Raw genomic sequence first — 15,025 nt, forward strand, 5'->3', positions numbered from 1 at the left:
TCTCTTCCTCACCATGCACACCTCTCCCTTGTTGATCAATAGTTTTCTTTTGCTTTAGTCATACTGTCAGGTTATATACAATGTTGGTATTTAAAATAAGAAAAGGATATGTTCATAATGTTAGGTTAGAAAAAATAATATTAGGAATTATGTAGTGTGTAACCATGCTCTGGACAGTGTCAGTTGACCAAGTTCATGAGGATGTTCCTGTCTATACACAAGAATTCTCAGATTGTCAAGCCTCTGTGCTGGCTTTTTCTGCCCTGCTAGAGACAGCTGAGGGGCCCAAGCACCTGTCCGTCCGTCCGTCCGTCCTTCCTTCCTTCCTTTTTTTTTTTGTTTTTTAATTGTGGTAAAATATATGTAACATAAAATTTACTGTTTTACATTCTTCCTTCTTATACATGGTCAGCCTCCTGGAAAGCTTTCCCTTCGCCGCCTCATCTCTTACTGCCCTTAGGAGTCCTCAGAGTCTAGCTCATGCTTTCTCTGAGTGAGTTTCCTTGAGAGACCCTAGAGCACAGTGGCCATGCCTTCTTTGGTCTGTGTCCAAAGAATACAGCTCGTTTATTTTTTTAGGTTATGTACTGCAGTCTTCTGACTGCTTTATGTTTTACCTGTTCACACATTTTGGCATGATCTCTCCAACTAGATTGTCAGTTCTTGGAGAGCAATAACTGTCTTGTACCTTATCTCCTCCATCATTCTTGTCACACTATTTCATCTACAGTAGGTATTGAATAATTGCTTGGATACTTGTGGATTTTGTTGATTGTTGGTGATAGTAGCAGCTGCTGCTGTGGGTGTGAGCTAGATTTCCTAGTCCCTGATACATTTTGTTTCCTGTTGGAAATGAAATGAAAGGGCATTGTTCTGGCCTTTAAGACTGAGAAGAGTAAGAGCAAAAAGAACTTGTAGCAGAGATGAGGGAATAAATAAGAGAAGGAAGAGAGTTGAAACAGTATGAAAGGGTTAAAGAGAAAATGGAGCAAAGAGGAAAATAATCCACAAAAATTTAGATGTTGAGAGTTTATTTTTTCCCTTCTGCACTTCACTGAGAAATATGTTAACACCATTTACTTTCTGGGGCTGGGCAAAAAAAGGTTGTGGCTCTTTTGGTTGGGTTGACTGTACCTAAAGGGACTCTGGTGTTTTAAGTGATTCAGAAACTTGACCAAAGAGACTGGACAGAAAAGCAGCTTGCTTAAGAGTAAAGGAGAAGGAATCATATACAAAGTTTTTTCTTTGAGGCAAGATACAAGCTAGCATTGTTTTTATTTACTTATATTTTTAAAATTATATTTTAAATACAAAAATTAGCTGAGCGTGCTAGCATGTTCCTGTAGTCCCAGCTACTCAGGAGGCTGAGGTGGGAGGATCACTTGGGCCTGGGAGCGGAGGTTGCAGTGAGCTGAGATTGCCCCCACTATACTCCAGCTTGGGCTACAGAGCAAGACCTTATCTCAAAACAACAAAAATTTTTTTTTTGGTAGAGATGGGGTCTTGCTATGTTGCCTAGGTCTTAAACTCCTGGCCTCAAGCCATCTTCCCACCTCAGCCTCCCAAATTCCTCTACAAGCATGAGCTACCACTCCTGGCCTGTTTTTATTTTTGTAATTAATATTTTTTGAGGATGAGAGGGAATAATTTAAGTGCTTAGTTTACCCAATGGTGTTCCGGCTACTCTGGTTGTCTTGTTGCACATGTCTCTGAAAGTGTGATTGATAGTGATAGTCACCCAGATCACTACTGATATCCCATTGGTCGTAGTGCTGATTGCACAATTCTGTGGCATATTGAAACATTTAATTTTTTAATGTAATTTAAGTTCTGTGGCTTGTAGAAAATGTTGTGTGTATGTAATTGAAAATTATAGCCTTACGAATTCTAGTCTATGAGTAAAAACTATCCAAGTTTGAGGAGTGGCTTAAATTTTTCACTTGATTCTCATGTCTGTGTACTCATTTTGTTGTGTCCAGGCAGTTGCATGTGGATTATTTATAGTATAGCATAAAATTAAGCCTTTTACTGCCATTTGGGATTTGAAGTCTCTTTTTAAAAATTATTATTTAAAAAAAAATTTTTTTAGAGATGAGCTCTTGCCCTGTCTCACAACTGGAGTGCAGTAGCATGATCATAGCTCACTGTACCCTCAAACTCCTGGGTTCCAAGCTATCCTCCCATCTCAGCCTCCCAAGTAGCTGGGGCTACAGGTGCGTGCAACTAATTAAACAAAAATTTATTTTGGCCAGGCGCAGTGGCTCACGCCTGTAATCCCAGCACTATGGGAGGCCGAGGCGGGTGGATCACGAGGTCAGGAGATCAAGATCATCCTGGCTAACACGGTGAAACCCCATCTCTACTAAAAATACAAACAAAAAATTAGTCGGGTGTGGTGACACATGCCTGTGGTCCCAGCTACTCAGGAGGCTGAGGCAGGAGAATGGGTGTGAACCCGCGGGCAGAGGTTGCAGTGAGATGAGATCGCACCACTGCACTCCAGCCTGGGCAACAGAGTGAGACTCTGTCTCAAAAAAAAAAAAGAGAAAAAATTTTTAAGTGGACTCAAAAAGCTGCAAAAAAAATTTTTTTTTAAGATACAGAATCTCACTATGTTGCCCAGGCTGATCTCAAACTCCTGGCCTCAAGTGATCCTCCTGCCTCAGCCTCCTGAGTTAGCTGAGTAAAGTGTCTTAAGTAGAAAAATCACAATTTTCAGCCGGGTGCGGTGGCTCACGCCTGTAATCCGAGTACTTTGGGAGGCCAAGGCAGGTGGATCACGAGGTCAGGAGAGCCCTGGCTAACACAGTGAAAAACCTGTCTTTACTAAAAATACAAAAAATTAGCCAGGCGTGGTGGTGGGCACCTGTAGTCCCAGCTACTCAGGAGGCTGAGGCAGGAGAATGGCGTGAACCCAGGAGGCGGAGCTTGCAGTGAGCTGAGATCGTGTCACTGTACTCCAGCCTGGGTGACAGAGCAAGACTCTGTCTAAAAAAGAAAAAGAAAAATCACAATTGTCTGGGACACTGGGCTTTTAGTTTAATGAGGGCCCTGATGTCAGAGGGTAACTTCCTGTATATGTTCTGGGACCAGTCTATGAGTAAAGTCATTATTGAGAGAGGAAGGTGCCCAGAAAATCAGATCAAGGGCTCAAGATAGAGAACAGAGAAAATGCTTATCTGTTAGTGTGGTGGGGAAGCTGCTGGCATTCAAATAGTGGCAAAACAGAAGCATTATTTGAGAATGAACTATCCTACACAAATCACAAATGGAATAGTCAAATGAGATGAAATGATTGCCAAGTGAGGTGTTGTGTTGTAGGAGGAGGGGATCTCTGGGGAATAAGTAATTTTAGTGATCATGTATGAGTCTTTAAAGAAAACAAAGTTACCTTTTTCTACAGTGTATTTTTATATGAGACTTATACAAAGATTATTTTGTCTTTATAGATGAAAGAGGTCCTTCTTGTAACCATAAGCATTTTTATTACAAAATGTGCAGTAGTTAGCCAATAATTTTTTTCAGTTATTCAGTGAGTCCTTTTAATTACCATTCCATGGAACTCTTGAGATATTTGCTGACAAGCTGCTCAGGAAGAGGCTCAGCCAGAGCCCCAGACAAAGCCCAGGCAGGATCATGACTGTGGAGCTGGCTTTGGTTTGTGATGGGTCAAGAGTCTTTTTCTCCTAGTGCCCTCATCTTAGCATCATGTTAGGGGTGTGGGCAGGAGAAGTGAATGTTGTTCAGGGACCCACCCCATTGCTTCAGGAGGGGAAAGAAATAGGCCACTTTGAGCTAGATCTAGTCCAGGAGGTGTAGTGAGCTACCTGAGCTTTGTGTTGAGGCCAGAGGACCTTGAAGGTGGTGTAGAAGGGCAATGCAGGTTATAGAAGTCCTGGCTCCACAGGGCAATGGGCATGGGAGTGGGAGGGTTATCTTCTGGGCTGGAATGAGGGTCAAAGATGTATAGGTAGAAAGGAATATTATGATTGTAGCCTCAAGCATCTTTGCTGTTGGTGGAAAGGAATAGGTTTTGTAAACTATAGGAATAGGTTTTTAATAGGATTTTTTGTTTTTGAGACAGCGCCTCACTCTGGCACTCAGGTTGGAGTGCAGTGGCACGATGTTGGCTAACTGCAGCCTCCAACTCCCAGGCTCAAACAATCCTACTTCAGCCTCCCAAATAGCTGGGACCACAGGTGCGCACCACATGCCCGGGTGTGTGTGTGTGTGTGTGTGTGTGTGTGTGTGTGTGTGTGTGTGTGTGTGTGATCACAGGTGCGCACCACATGCCCGGGGGTGTGTGTGTGTGTGTGTGTGTTTTTGGTAGAGACGGGGTTTTGCCATGTTACCCAGGCTGGTCTCAAACTCCAGAGTTCAGACAATCCACCCACTTCAGCCTCCCAAAGTGCTGGGGTTACAGGCGTGAGCCACCACACTGAGCCTAGGATTTTAAATAGGTATTTAAATAGATTTTTAAAACTTATTCAGCACATGTGTGGCATAGTGAAGTATATTGCTCACTTTTTTTTTTTTTTTTTTTTTTAGTTGAGACGGACTCTCGCTGTGTCACCCAGGCTGGAGTGCAGTGGCACGATCTCGGTTCACTGCAAGCTCCGCCTACCGGGTTCATACCATTCTCCTGCCTCAGCCTCCCAAGTAGCTGGGACTACAGGTGCCCGCCACCACACCCGGCTAAATTTTTTTGTATTTTTAGTAGAGACGGGCTTTCACCTTGTTTGCCAGGATGGTCTCGATCTCCTGACCTCATGATCCACCCGCCTCAGCCTCCCAACGTGCTGGGATTACAGGTGTGAGCCACCGCGCCTGTCCCTATTGCTCACTTTTTAAGCCTGTTCCCCAGATAGGATTGGAGAAATATGCCAATTATCACAAATGTTTTTACTACATTTCTTCTTGCTTTATGAATTGCTGTATTAACTGCAGTAAAGCTATGAAAATATTTCCTAGAACACTCTATTCTGCCATACTCTTTTGTGAATTTTTTTAAAAATCTGGTGTTTGCTCTTTAGCAAAATGTGACTGGAAAATCTCTCTAAGATTCTGCTGTGGATAATTTTTCCCCTCTGTAGATGAATAGTAATGAGTTGTCAGGGCTTCTGACTCTTAAGTGCCGAAGTCTTTATAGTCCTGTGTTCAAAACAACCTGGCTTTTTTGCCTTTTTCACTTGTAACGTGATCAATTGGTGTTCATAACAACAAAATACATTATTTTAGCCATTTTCTTAATTGGTACTAAATACTTATATAATGCCAAGTTAAAAGATAACAAGTATCTGGTGAAAACTTTAATTATTAAATCAATTTTCTTTTATTCTGATATAGCTGAATTTTAAGATCATTCTATTTTTATTTACTTACAGTCATTAATTGACCAATAATGGTTTGTTGTTGTTGTTGTTATTATTGTTGCTACTACTCATGGGAAAGTATCTTCAAGCTGGGCCTGGTTACACTGAGTGTTTGTGTGCTGAGCAGCCCTCTGATTTCTATTTTTGTGATCTGATGTGAGCTGTCTTTGCATGCCTCTATCTAAGTAGAACTTAGGTTAAATTCCTGCGTTTCAAATAGCTGGCCGTTAATAGGTTTGTTAACATGTTTCACAGTGTTTTAGTCCAGAAGTCTGAGGTGTGTTTACTGATGTGTAAATTCATTTTTAAAAGGCGATGAGAAATGTCCAGAGTGACATTGAGAATGGCCTAAATACAAATGGTGCAAAGATGTCCTTGTCTTGCCAGCTTAGAAAAGTTATTGTCATCGCTGTGTACCTGATACCATACAAAACATGCTCATCATCTTCCAGAAAAGAAGCTCTTCATCAGATTCAAGGCCAGCTTTCATTCTAGTCTTTTTGTTGTGCTTTCTGTCTACCTCAGGAAACATGGAAGTCATGTGTAATCAAGGGGTGATACGGTATTTGTGTGTGTTTGTTTTTTTTTGACATTTATATTTTAATCTTGAGTTTATAAATTTTTTTGTCAAGATGTTACTACAGTATTTAAGAAAATAATATCATTCATGTTTTCATTAACCTAAAATAAGTTTTCTTGCTTGCTTATCATCCTTCAGCTCTTGTCCATATTCATACATAGCATTATTGTTCAGTATTTCATTCAACCAATATTGGGTATTTATTGAGAACCTACTACGCCTCCTGTTATGTTCCTGTGCCAGGCACATAACAGGAAAAATAACTGTAAACAAAACAGACAAAAATCTCTGCCCTGGTAGACATTGCATTATAATAATCAGTAGATATATGTATTTTATGCATTCTGCTTTTTTCATGTATATTTCAAACATTTCCCCATTTTTACTTTGTCCTCATAAATACTTTAAATGGCTGTGTAGCATGCCATCTTGTTTTTGAACTGTAATTTGCTTAAGCTTTCTGCATTGGGCATTTAAGTGAGTACCTATGTATTACAGTTGTTGGGGGACTGGTTACATTGTTGTGAATGTCTTTATGGATATGACTTTTATGTCTGTTGGGCCTTGTCCAGAGTCTGGGCTAGTGGTCAGATGATTGGGTTCCAGTCCCATTTTTTCCATTTAATATAATATGACCTCAGATAAGTCTGTCAGCATCTCTATGCTTGAGTTTCCTCATCTGTAAAATAATGATAACACCTCCTTCACAACATTAAATGTGATGATAATGCAGATAAAGTGCCTGGAACATGAATGTTCAAATCGATTTTGCTTGGTCATGGTAGAAGCGGGGCAAAAGTGGAAGGATGGGAGTGTTATTTGTCTTGGTTCCTTAAAACACATTCTCAGGGTTGTGTGTCTTGAATCATAGGGTAGGAGCCTACACATTGAGGATGGTTCTGGGCAATGTATTGCTGACTGGTGCGTCTGAGTGTGCGTATGATATTGGGTCATATACTTTGGATTATTTTACCTTCCCCTAGAGCCTCTGGTTCTCTTCTCCTGGGACCCACCAAAAGAAAAGTAAAAACAACACAAAATGAACTTTGAATTGGAGCCGGGAAAAAGATACAGGGAAATAATAGCTTGTTTGTACCTGTATTTGTGGTTGACTGCAATGTTTGGTCTTATGCCTATGTTAATAGCACTACTTAGTGTTTACTTGTTTTGGGGGTTCTTGTTATTGAGACACCTCCGTACTTTAATTTTGCCTTGCTCCAATCTAATTATCTTTTTTTTTTTCTTTGCCCTTGCTGCTCTAGGAAAAATTTGAAGGATTAGATTTGTCTTCCCCAAAGAGGGAAGAATTGTAGGAAAGATTTGAAAAAGGTGCAGAATGAGGAGTATTTTGCTCCTCCTGAAATGTATCTGCCCTCTAACTTTATTTCTTAAACTGACATGAACTGTCAAACATGAAGTTCCTTTTCTATCTAAACTTTAAACTTTTATAAAGTTTAAATCTTTATAAACATGAATGATTTCCACCAGGCACAGTGGCTCATGCCTGTATTCCCAGTACTTTGGGAGGCCAAGGCAGGCGGATCACCTGAGGTCAGGAGTTCAAGACCAGCTAGCTAACATGGTGAAACCCTGTCTCTACTAAATATACAAAAATTAGCTGGGCATGGTGGTGCATGCCTGTAGTTCCAGCTACTTGGGAGGCTGAGGCACGAGAATCGCTTGAACCTGGGAAGCGGAGGTTGCAGTGAGCCAAGATTGCACCACTGCACTCCAGCCTTGGCAACAGAGCGAGACTCTGTCTCAAAAAAACAAAAACAGGCCGGGCGCTGTGGCTCATGCCTGTAATCCCAGCATTTTGAGAGGCCAAGGCGGGCGGATCACGAGGTCAGGAGATCGAGACCATCTGGCTAACACGTTGAAACCCTGTCTGTACTAAAAGTACAAAAAATTAGCCGGGCATGGTGGCAGGCGCCTATAGTCCCAGCTACTCTGGAGGCTGAGGCAGGAGAATGGCGTGAACCCGGGAGGTGGAGCTTGCGGTGAGCCAAGATGGCACCACTGCACTCCAGCCTGGGCAACACAGCGAGACTCCGTCTCAAAAAAAAAAACATGAATGATTTCACAGTGATGACCATGTTATTGATCATAAATAGAGAAAAATACAGGCAGGATGAGCAAGGGGTTTGTTTGGAGATTTTAAAAGGAAAACAGAGCTGTTCTTATAATTGTGAACAAAATGTGGTCTATATCTGGAAAAGTTATTCTCTTTGACTAGCAGTTTCTTTTCCTGGTAAGCTAACAGTCTCTTCAATTCTGTCACCATCCTTTCCAGGAGTCTGTAGATAACCTTGCCTCTTTTTACAAGAAATCTTTCTAATGCCATCAAGCTTGGTTTCCTGGATTCTCTATCTTAATTGTTGGTACCACCATCCACCAACCCGGAAATAGAGGATTGACCCTCTACCCCTTGTTTACATGAATCCCTCCCTGATCCCCAGACAGAGTCTGTCACTCTTGCCTCTGTACCACTGTGCTTCTTCTTGGTGTGTGCTTACAGTGTTTGCCAATTAGTTGTAAACTAGGATATAAACTCTTTGAGATAGAGGTCCATATTTTTTCTTTACCTAACAGCACCTGGCAGAAATGTCTGGTTATGTTATGTTCTCAGTAAGTGTTGCTTTTTAATATGTCTAAGCCCAGGCCAATAAATGCACAGTTGAAAATTTGACTCCAAACCTCTACTTCTGTGTGCTTCAATTTGTAAACAGAAGACATTCTCTTCAAAGGACTTTTTCATGAAGCCAGCTGACCTCCAAATAAAGATGGTATAAACCTGGCCAGGCGCGGTGGCTCACACGTGTAATCCCAGCACTTTGGGAGGCCAGGGCGGGTGGATCATGAGATCAGGAGATCAAGATCATCCTGGCCAACACAATGAAACGCCGTCTCTACTAAAAATACAAAAAATTAGCCGGTCGTAGTGGCGGGCGCCTGTAGTCCCAGCTACTCCGGAGGCTGAGGCAGGAGAATGGCGTGAACCTGGGAGGCGGAGCTTGCAGTGAGCCGAGATTGTGCCACTGCACTCCAGCCTGGGCGACAGAGCCAGACTCCGTCTCAAAAAAAAAAAAAAAAAAATGGGTTCTATGTCCTTTTTGATGATGAGAAATGGGGTTTCACCAGGTTGGCCAGGCTGTCCTTTTTGATGATGTAGAGATGACTGATGGCATCTTTAGTCATAAATACAATGTGGTTTAAAAGTTTTGAATTTTATGATACTGTAGTAGAATACACCAAATTTTCTTTTACAAATTTATTAACACTGCTACTTCAAGATGGTTGGCTGCACATGCCTTTGCCCTACCTCTGCTTCTTCTGTTTGTTTTGGTATTCAGATGTCTGTGGTAGTTTTATTTGCAATGGCCAAAAACTGGAAGCAGCTCACTAAACAAACAGTGGCATACCCATAGAACTGCATACTTCTCAGCAGTATGAAAGAATGAGCTACTTATATAAGCATCATTGATAAACCTCAAAAAAAAAATGCCACATGAAGAAACCCAAAGGGGAGAAACATAAAAACTTTATATGTCAGTCATATAAAATTCTAGAAAATGCAAACTAATCCATCATAAAGGAAAGTAAATCAACAGTTGTCTGGAGGACCAGAGAGAGCAGGAGGAGAGAGATTATTAAAGGGGTTAAAGTAAATTTGGGAGTGCCCTTCCATTTTTAAATACTATGAAAATGAAAGTAAAGGCACATGCATGTTGTAAACTAATAGTAACAAACAGAATGGGTTGGAGTGGGGTGTTGTCTGGGGACATCATTACAAAATGTAAGCCAGTTTATCTAAATTTTGAAAAGACCGTGGACTCTGATCTGACTGATGAATGTTGGAAGAGATAAGTGTGCTGCAAATGGGGGAATTAATAAAACAGCTGTATATAGACTAGTCATCCCTGTCCCCACTGGGTCTTTAGACCAAAAAAAAAAAAAAAAAAAAAAAAAACCAACTACATAAAAACAAAAGAAACCCATTTATTTATTTAATTTTTTGAGACAGAGTGTTGCTCGTCCCCCAGGCTGGAGTGCAGTGGCGTGATCTCAGCTCACTGCAACCTCTGCTTCCCAGGTTCAAGCAATTCTCCTGCCTCAGCCTCCTGAGTAGCTGGGACTACAGGCGCCTGCCACCACACCTGGCTAATTTTTGTATTTTAAGTAGAGGTGGGGTTTCACCATGTTGGCCAGGCTGGTCTTGAACTCCAGACTTCAAGTGACCTGCCTGCCTCGGCCTCCCAAAGTGCTGGGATTACGGGGGCGCCTGGCCAAAACCTTTATTTTTAAGAAATGAGATAAACTGCAGAGAAATAGGACCCTTAGAGTGTGAGATTTGGCTGATCTCATTTATCATCTGGGGGCCCTTGAGTCTGGAGTAATAGCTGTCTCTCATGGATCACCCTAAAATGACAGGTTCTGTTTATGTACACAGAGCTTAGGATGCATTTTCCTGACCCTTCTTCCCTTTAAAAATTTGAAGTAATAATTAGCTGGGCGCGGTGACTCACGCCTGTAATCCCAGCACTTTGGGAGGCCGAGGCGGGTGGATCATGAGGTCAGGAGATAGAGACCATCCCGGCTAACACAGTGAAACCCTGTCTCTACTAAAAATACAAAAAAATTAGCCGGGTGTGGTGGTGGGCGCCTGTAGTCCCAGCTACTCGGGAGGCTGAGGCAGGAGAATGGCGTGAACCTGGGAGGAGGAGCTTGCAGTGAGCCGAGATTGTGCCACTGCACTCCAGCCTGGGTGACAGAGCAAGACTCCATCTCAAAAAAAAAAAAAAAAAAACAAAAACAAAAAAACAAAAAAAAAAACTGAAGTAATAATCACATAACCTAAAACTAACCATTTAAAGTATACAATTCAGTGGCATTTAGTACATTCACATTGTTATGCAACCATCATCTTCATCTTGTTCCAGAACATTTCCATTACCTCAAAAAGAAACCCCCAGGCTGGGCACAGTGGCTCATGCCTGTAATCCCAGCACTTTGGGAGGCCGAGGCAGGTGTTAGAGACCAGCCTGGCCAACATGGTGAAACCCTGTCTCTACTAAAAATACAAAAAATTAGCCAGGCATGGTGGTGGGCGCCTGTAGTCCCAGCTACTCGGGAGGCTGAGGCAGGAGAATGGCGTGAACCCGGGAGGCGGAGCTTGCAGTGAGCCAAGATCGCGCCACTGCACTCCAGCCTGGGCAACAGAGCGAGACTCCGTCTCAAAAAAGAAAAAAAATTAGCTGGGCGTGGTGGCACACATCTGTAATCCCAGCTACTCGGGAGGCTGAGGTGGGAGAATCACTTGAACCCGGGAGGTGGAGGTTGTGGTGAGCCCAGATTTTAAAAAAGATAGATAGATAGATTGATTTTAAAAAGATAGATAGATAGATTAGATAGATAAAAAGAGAGAGAGAGAGCGCACAAGTGAGCCAAGTCTGGATGCGGTGGCTCACTCCTGTAATCCCAGCACTTAGGGAGGCCCAGGCGGGCAGATCACTTGAGGTCAGTGTTGCGAGAAGTCAGGGACCCTAAATGGAGGGACCGGCTGAAGCCATGGCAGAGGAACATGGATTGTGAAGATTTCATGGACATTTATTAGTTCCACCAGCCTGGCCAACATGGTGAAACCCCATCTCTACATCTCTACTAAAAATACAAAAATTAGTCAGGCATGGTGGCGCGTGCCTGTAATCCTAGATACTCGGGAGGCTGAGGCAGGAGAATTGCTTGAACCTGGGAGGCAGAGGTTCCAGTGAGCTGAGATTGCACCACTGCACTTCAGCCTGGGTGATAAAGGGAGACTCCGTCTCAAAAAAAAAAAAAAATATATATATATATATATATAGCCACATACATGGCAGGAGTATGAGTCATTGGTGGCAATCAAAAAATATATTTGTGCAGGCTGGGCGCGGTGGCTCACACCTGTAATCCCAGCACTTTGGGAGGCGGAGGCAGGCGGATCACGAGGTCAGGAGATCAAGACTATCCTGGCTAACATGGTGAAACCCCGTCTCTACTGAAAATACAAAAAAAAATTAGCCGGGCGTGGTAGCAGGTGGCTGTAGTCCCAGCTACTCGGGAGGCTGAAGCAGGAGAATGGCGTGAACCCAGGAGGCAGAGCTTGCAGTGAGCAGAGATCGTGCCACTGCACTCCAGCCTGGGTGACAGAGCAAGACTCCGTCTCAAAAAAAAAAAAAAAAAATTTGTGCCTGATGTATGAACATTCTCCTTTGAATGGCCCAAAGGGTTATTGACATTGGAACCACAGTGAAGAAAATGCAATTCTGGTCCTACAAATAGCATCCTAAAGCTACAAAAGTAACTGATGGAGGAACTAAAAATAGTGCTTTATATATCAAAAAGTTGGGACTTGAAAGTGGGAGATAGGGAGCAATTTAAGTAAGTTACATGTCATAGAGAGTTAGGGTTATACTCAGTGATGTTGGTGACAACCAGAAGAACCTTAGACAAATGACTGGAAAAGATTTCTCCTGGATAGGAAGACCTGGTGGTGGTAGTGGTAAAAAGGAATGAGGTCGCAGTGTTGTTCCTTTCCATCAAAGAGCCTTTTATGTTTTATGAACTATTGATTTTTCTTTTCTTTTCTTTTTTTTTTTTTTTTGGAGATGGAGTCTCACTCTGTCGCCCAGGCTGGAGTGCAGTGGCGCAATCTCGGCTCACTGCAAGCTCCACCTCCCGGGTTCACGCCATTCTCCTGCCTCAGCTTCCCGAGTAGCTGGGACTACAGGTGCCTGCCACCACGCCCGGCTAATTTTTTGTATTTTTAGTAGAGACGGGGTTAGCCAGGATAGTCTCGATCTCCTGACCTCGTGATCCACCCTGCCTCGGCCTCCCAAAGTGCTGAGATTACAGGCGTGAGCCACCGCCCGATTTTTCTTTTCTTTTTTTTTTGTTTGAGATGAAGTCTCATTCTGTCACCCAGGCTAGAATGCAGTGGCATGATCTTGGCACACTGCACCCTCCGCCCCCCGAGTTCAGGTGACTCTTCTGCCTCAGCCTCCCGAGTAGCTGGGATTACAGGCACACGCAACCATACCTGGCTAATTTTTTTTTTTTTTTTGAGGCGGAGTCTTACTCTGTCACCAAAGCTGGAGTGCAGTTAAGTTATCTTAGCTCACTGCAACCTCTGCCTCCTGAGTTCAAGCAATTCTCCTGCTTCAGCCTCCTAAATAGCTGGGATTAGAGGTGCCCGCCACCACGCCCAGGTAATTTTTGTATTTTTAATAGAAACAGGGTTTCACCATGTTGGCCAGGCTGGTCTTGAATTCCTGACCTCAGGAGATCTGCCCGCTTCAGCCTCCTGAAGTGTTGGGATTACTGGCATGAGCCACTACGTCCAGCCAAGCCTCAACTGATTTTCTTTGTTCATTGGCCATTAGGATAGGTTTAATAATTATTTCCCAGTAAACAAGTACTTCCTGAATTTCTGATGTCATTTTAGCTTTCAGGTAGATGTTGGGAGAGATGGAAAAAGATAGTTTGATCTCTTATTTTCCTTTTCACTTTTTTTTTTTTGGAGACGGAGTCTCCGTTGCCCAGGCTGGAGTGCAACCTCCGCCTCCCCGGTTTAAGTGATTCTCCTGCCTCAGTCTCCTGAGTAGGTGGGATTACAGGCGCCTGCCACCATGCCCGGCTAATTTTTTTTTTTTTTTTTTTTTTTGAGATGGAGTTTCGCTCTTGTTGCCCAGGCTGGAGTGCAATGGCACGATCTCAGCTCGCTGCAACCTCCGCCTCCCAGGTTCAAGCCATTCTCCTGCCTCAGCCTCCCGAGTAACTGGGATTACATGCACGTGCCACCACACCCAGCTAATTTTGTATTTTTAGTAGAGATGAGGTTTCTCCATGTTGGTCAGGCTGGTCTCAAACTCCTGACCTCAGGTGATCTGCCCGCCCCATCCTCCCAAAGTGCTGGAATTACAGGAGTGAGTCACCGTGCCTGGCCCTAATTTTTGTATTTATGGGGTTTCACCATGTTGGCCAAGCTGGTCTTGAATTCCTGACCTCAGGAGATCCACCTGCCTCGGCCTCCCAAAGTGCTGGGATTACAGGCATGAGCCACTGCGCCTCGCCAACCTCTTCTTTTTCAAATAACTTAAAGATCTCTCTGCCTTTAATATCTGCCCCCTCCTTTACTTCTACTTTTTGTTTTTCTGATACATCCACTAAAAGTACCACTTTATTTTGCTCTGTTGAAAAATTTAAAGTGGATTCTTCAGGCTCCAGCCTGATTTCCTTATTGTTCCTCTCCCTAACTCATATACTTGATTTTAACCTCCTCCAACCTATTGTCAGCATCTCCGCCCTTCTTGCAACCCTCGAGAGACTGCTAAGCCCTCCAACTTTTTTTAACCCGTCTCAGAGAAGCTGTGTCTGACCTCTCCTGTATCCCTGTGCATTCCTGAGGGCTTGGAAGACCTTGGGCACCTTCATACGCTCTTGTGGTGGATGTGGGTGTGGTGACAAGGCTGGACCACCGGAGACAGACAGAGAATGGTCTTGGCGTATGGGACCTAATGCTAGCACAGGTATTGTTCCAGGTTCTTGGGTTTGGCAGAGAAGGAATCCGTCAAAAAATTTCTGCCCTCAATGGGCTTTCATTCTCTTCCTGTTTATATAGTTTTATATAAACAGAAAGGTTATAAAAATAGGGTTATATGTTTCTAGCAAAAAGGGGTAGCTAAGGAAAGCAGTCGATGAGGTAGTAGCTCTGTCATTGAAACATGCTGTTGGAATCTGGCTTTTTCATTAAGATGTGCTGGCCTCTGAAGTACCCTCCTTTTGGAGAAGATGGTACTACCATCTTATTGGTAGTACTTGGATGGTACTACCTAGCTGGTTATTTGGCATTCCCTGTCTTTGCCTCCTTACAGTAGCAGTAGCTGAGACATAGCATTGTTTCAAATAACTTTTGGACAGGATGGGCTGTGGCTGCAGGAATGGACACAGCTTTTAGTCCTACTCTGTGCAGTTCATTTGATGTCAGCTCCCATCTGCATTTCTTTTGGTTGGGTTTGCTGGACATGATCTGCCTATG

At 43.2% G+C, this 15,025-nt stretch overlaps 1 protein-coding gene across 37 annotated transcripts in view; it reads left to right on the forward strand.

Annotated features, from left to right (window-relative positions):
* Positions 1-15,025, forward strand: part of ARIH2 (ariadne RBR E3 ubiquitin protein ligase 2) — a 67,541-nt gene that overhangs the window by 10,176 nt on the left and 42,340 nt on the right. The window contains exon 1 of one of the 37 annotated variants that reach the window (XM_017005535.2): positions 14,063-14,516. The exons of the other annotated variants lie outside the window; for them this stretch is intronic. The gene's annotated coding sequence lies outside the window, so the exon portion shown is untranslated. Of the gene's footprint in view, positions 1-14,062; positions 14,517-15,025 lie in introns of those variants that run through there. 37 annotated transcript variants of the gene reach the window in all.

The sequence above is a fragment of the Homo sapiens genome, chromosome 3 (assembly GCF_000001405.40).
Source record: "Homo sapiens chromosome 3, GRCh38.p14 Primary Assembly".
NCBI lineage: Eukaryota > Metazoa > Chordata > Mammalia > Primates > Hominidae > Homo > Homo sapiens.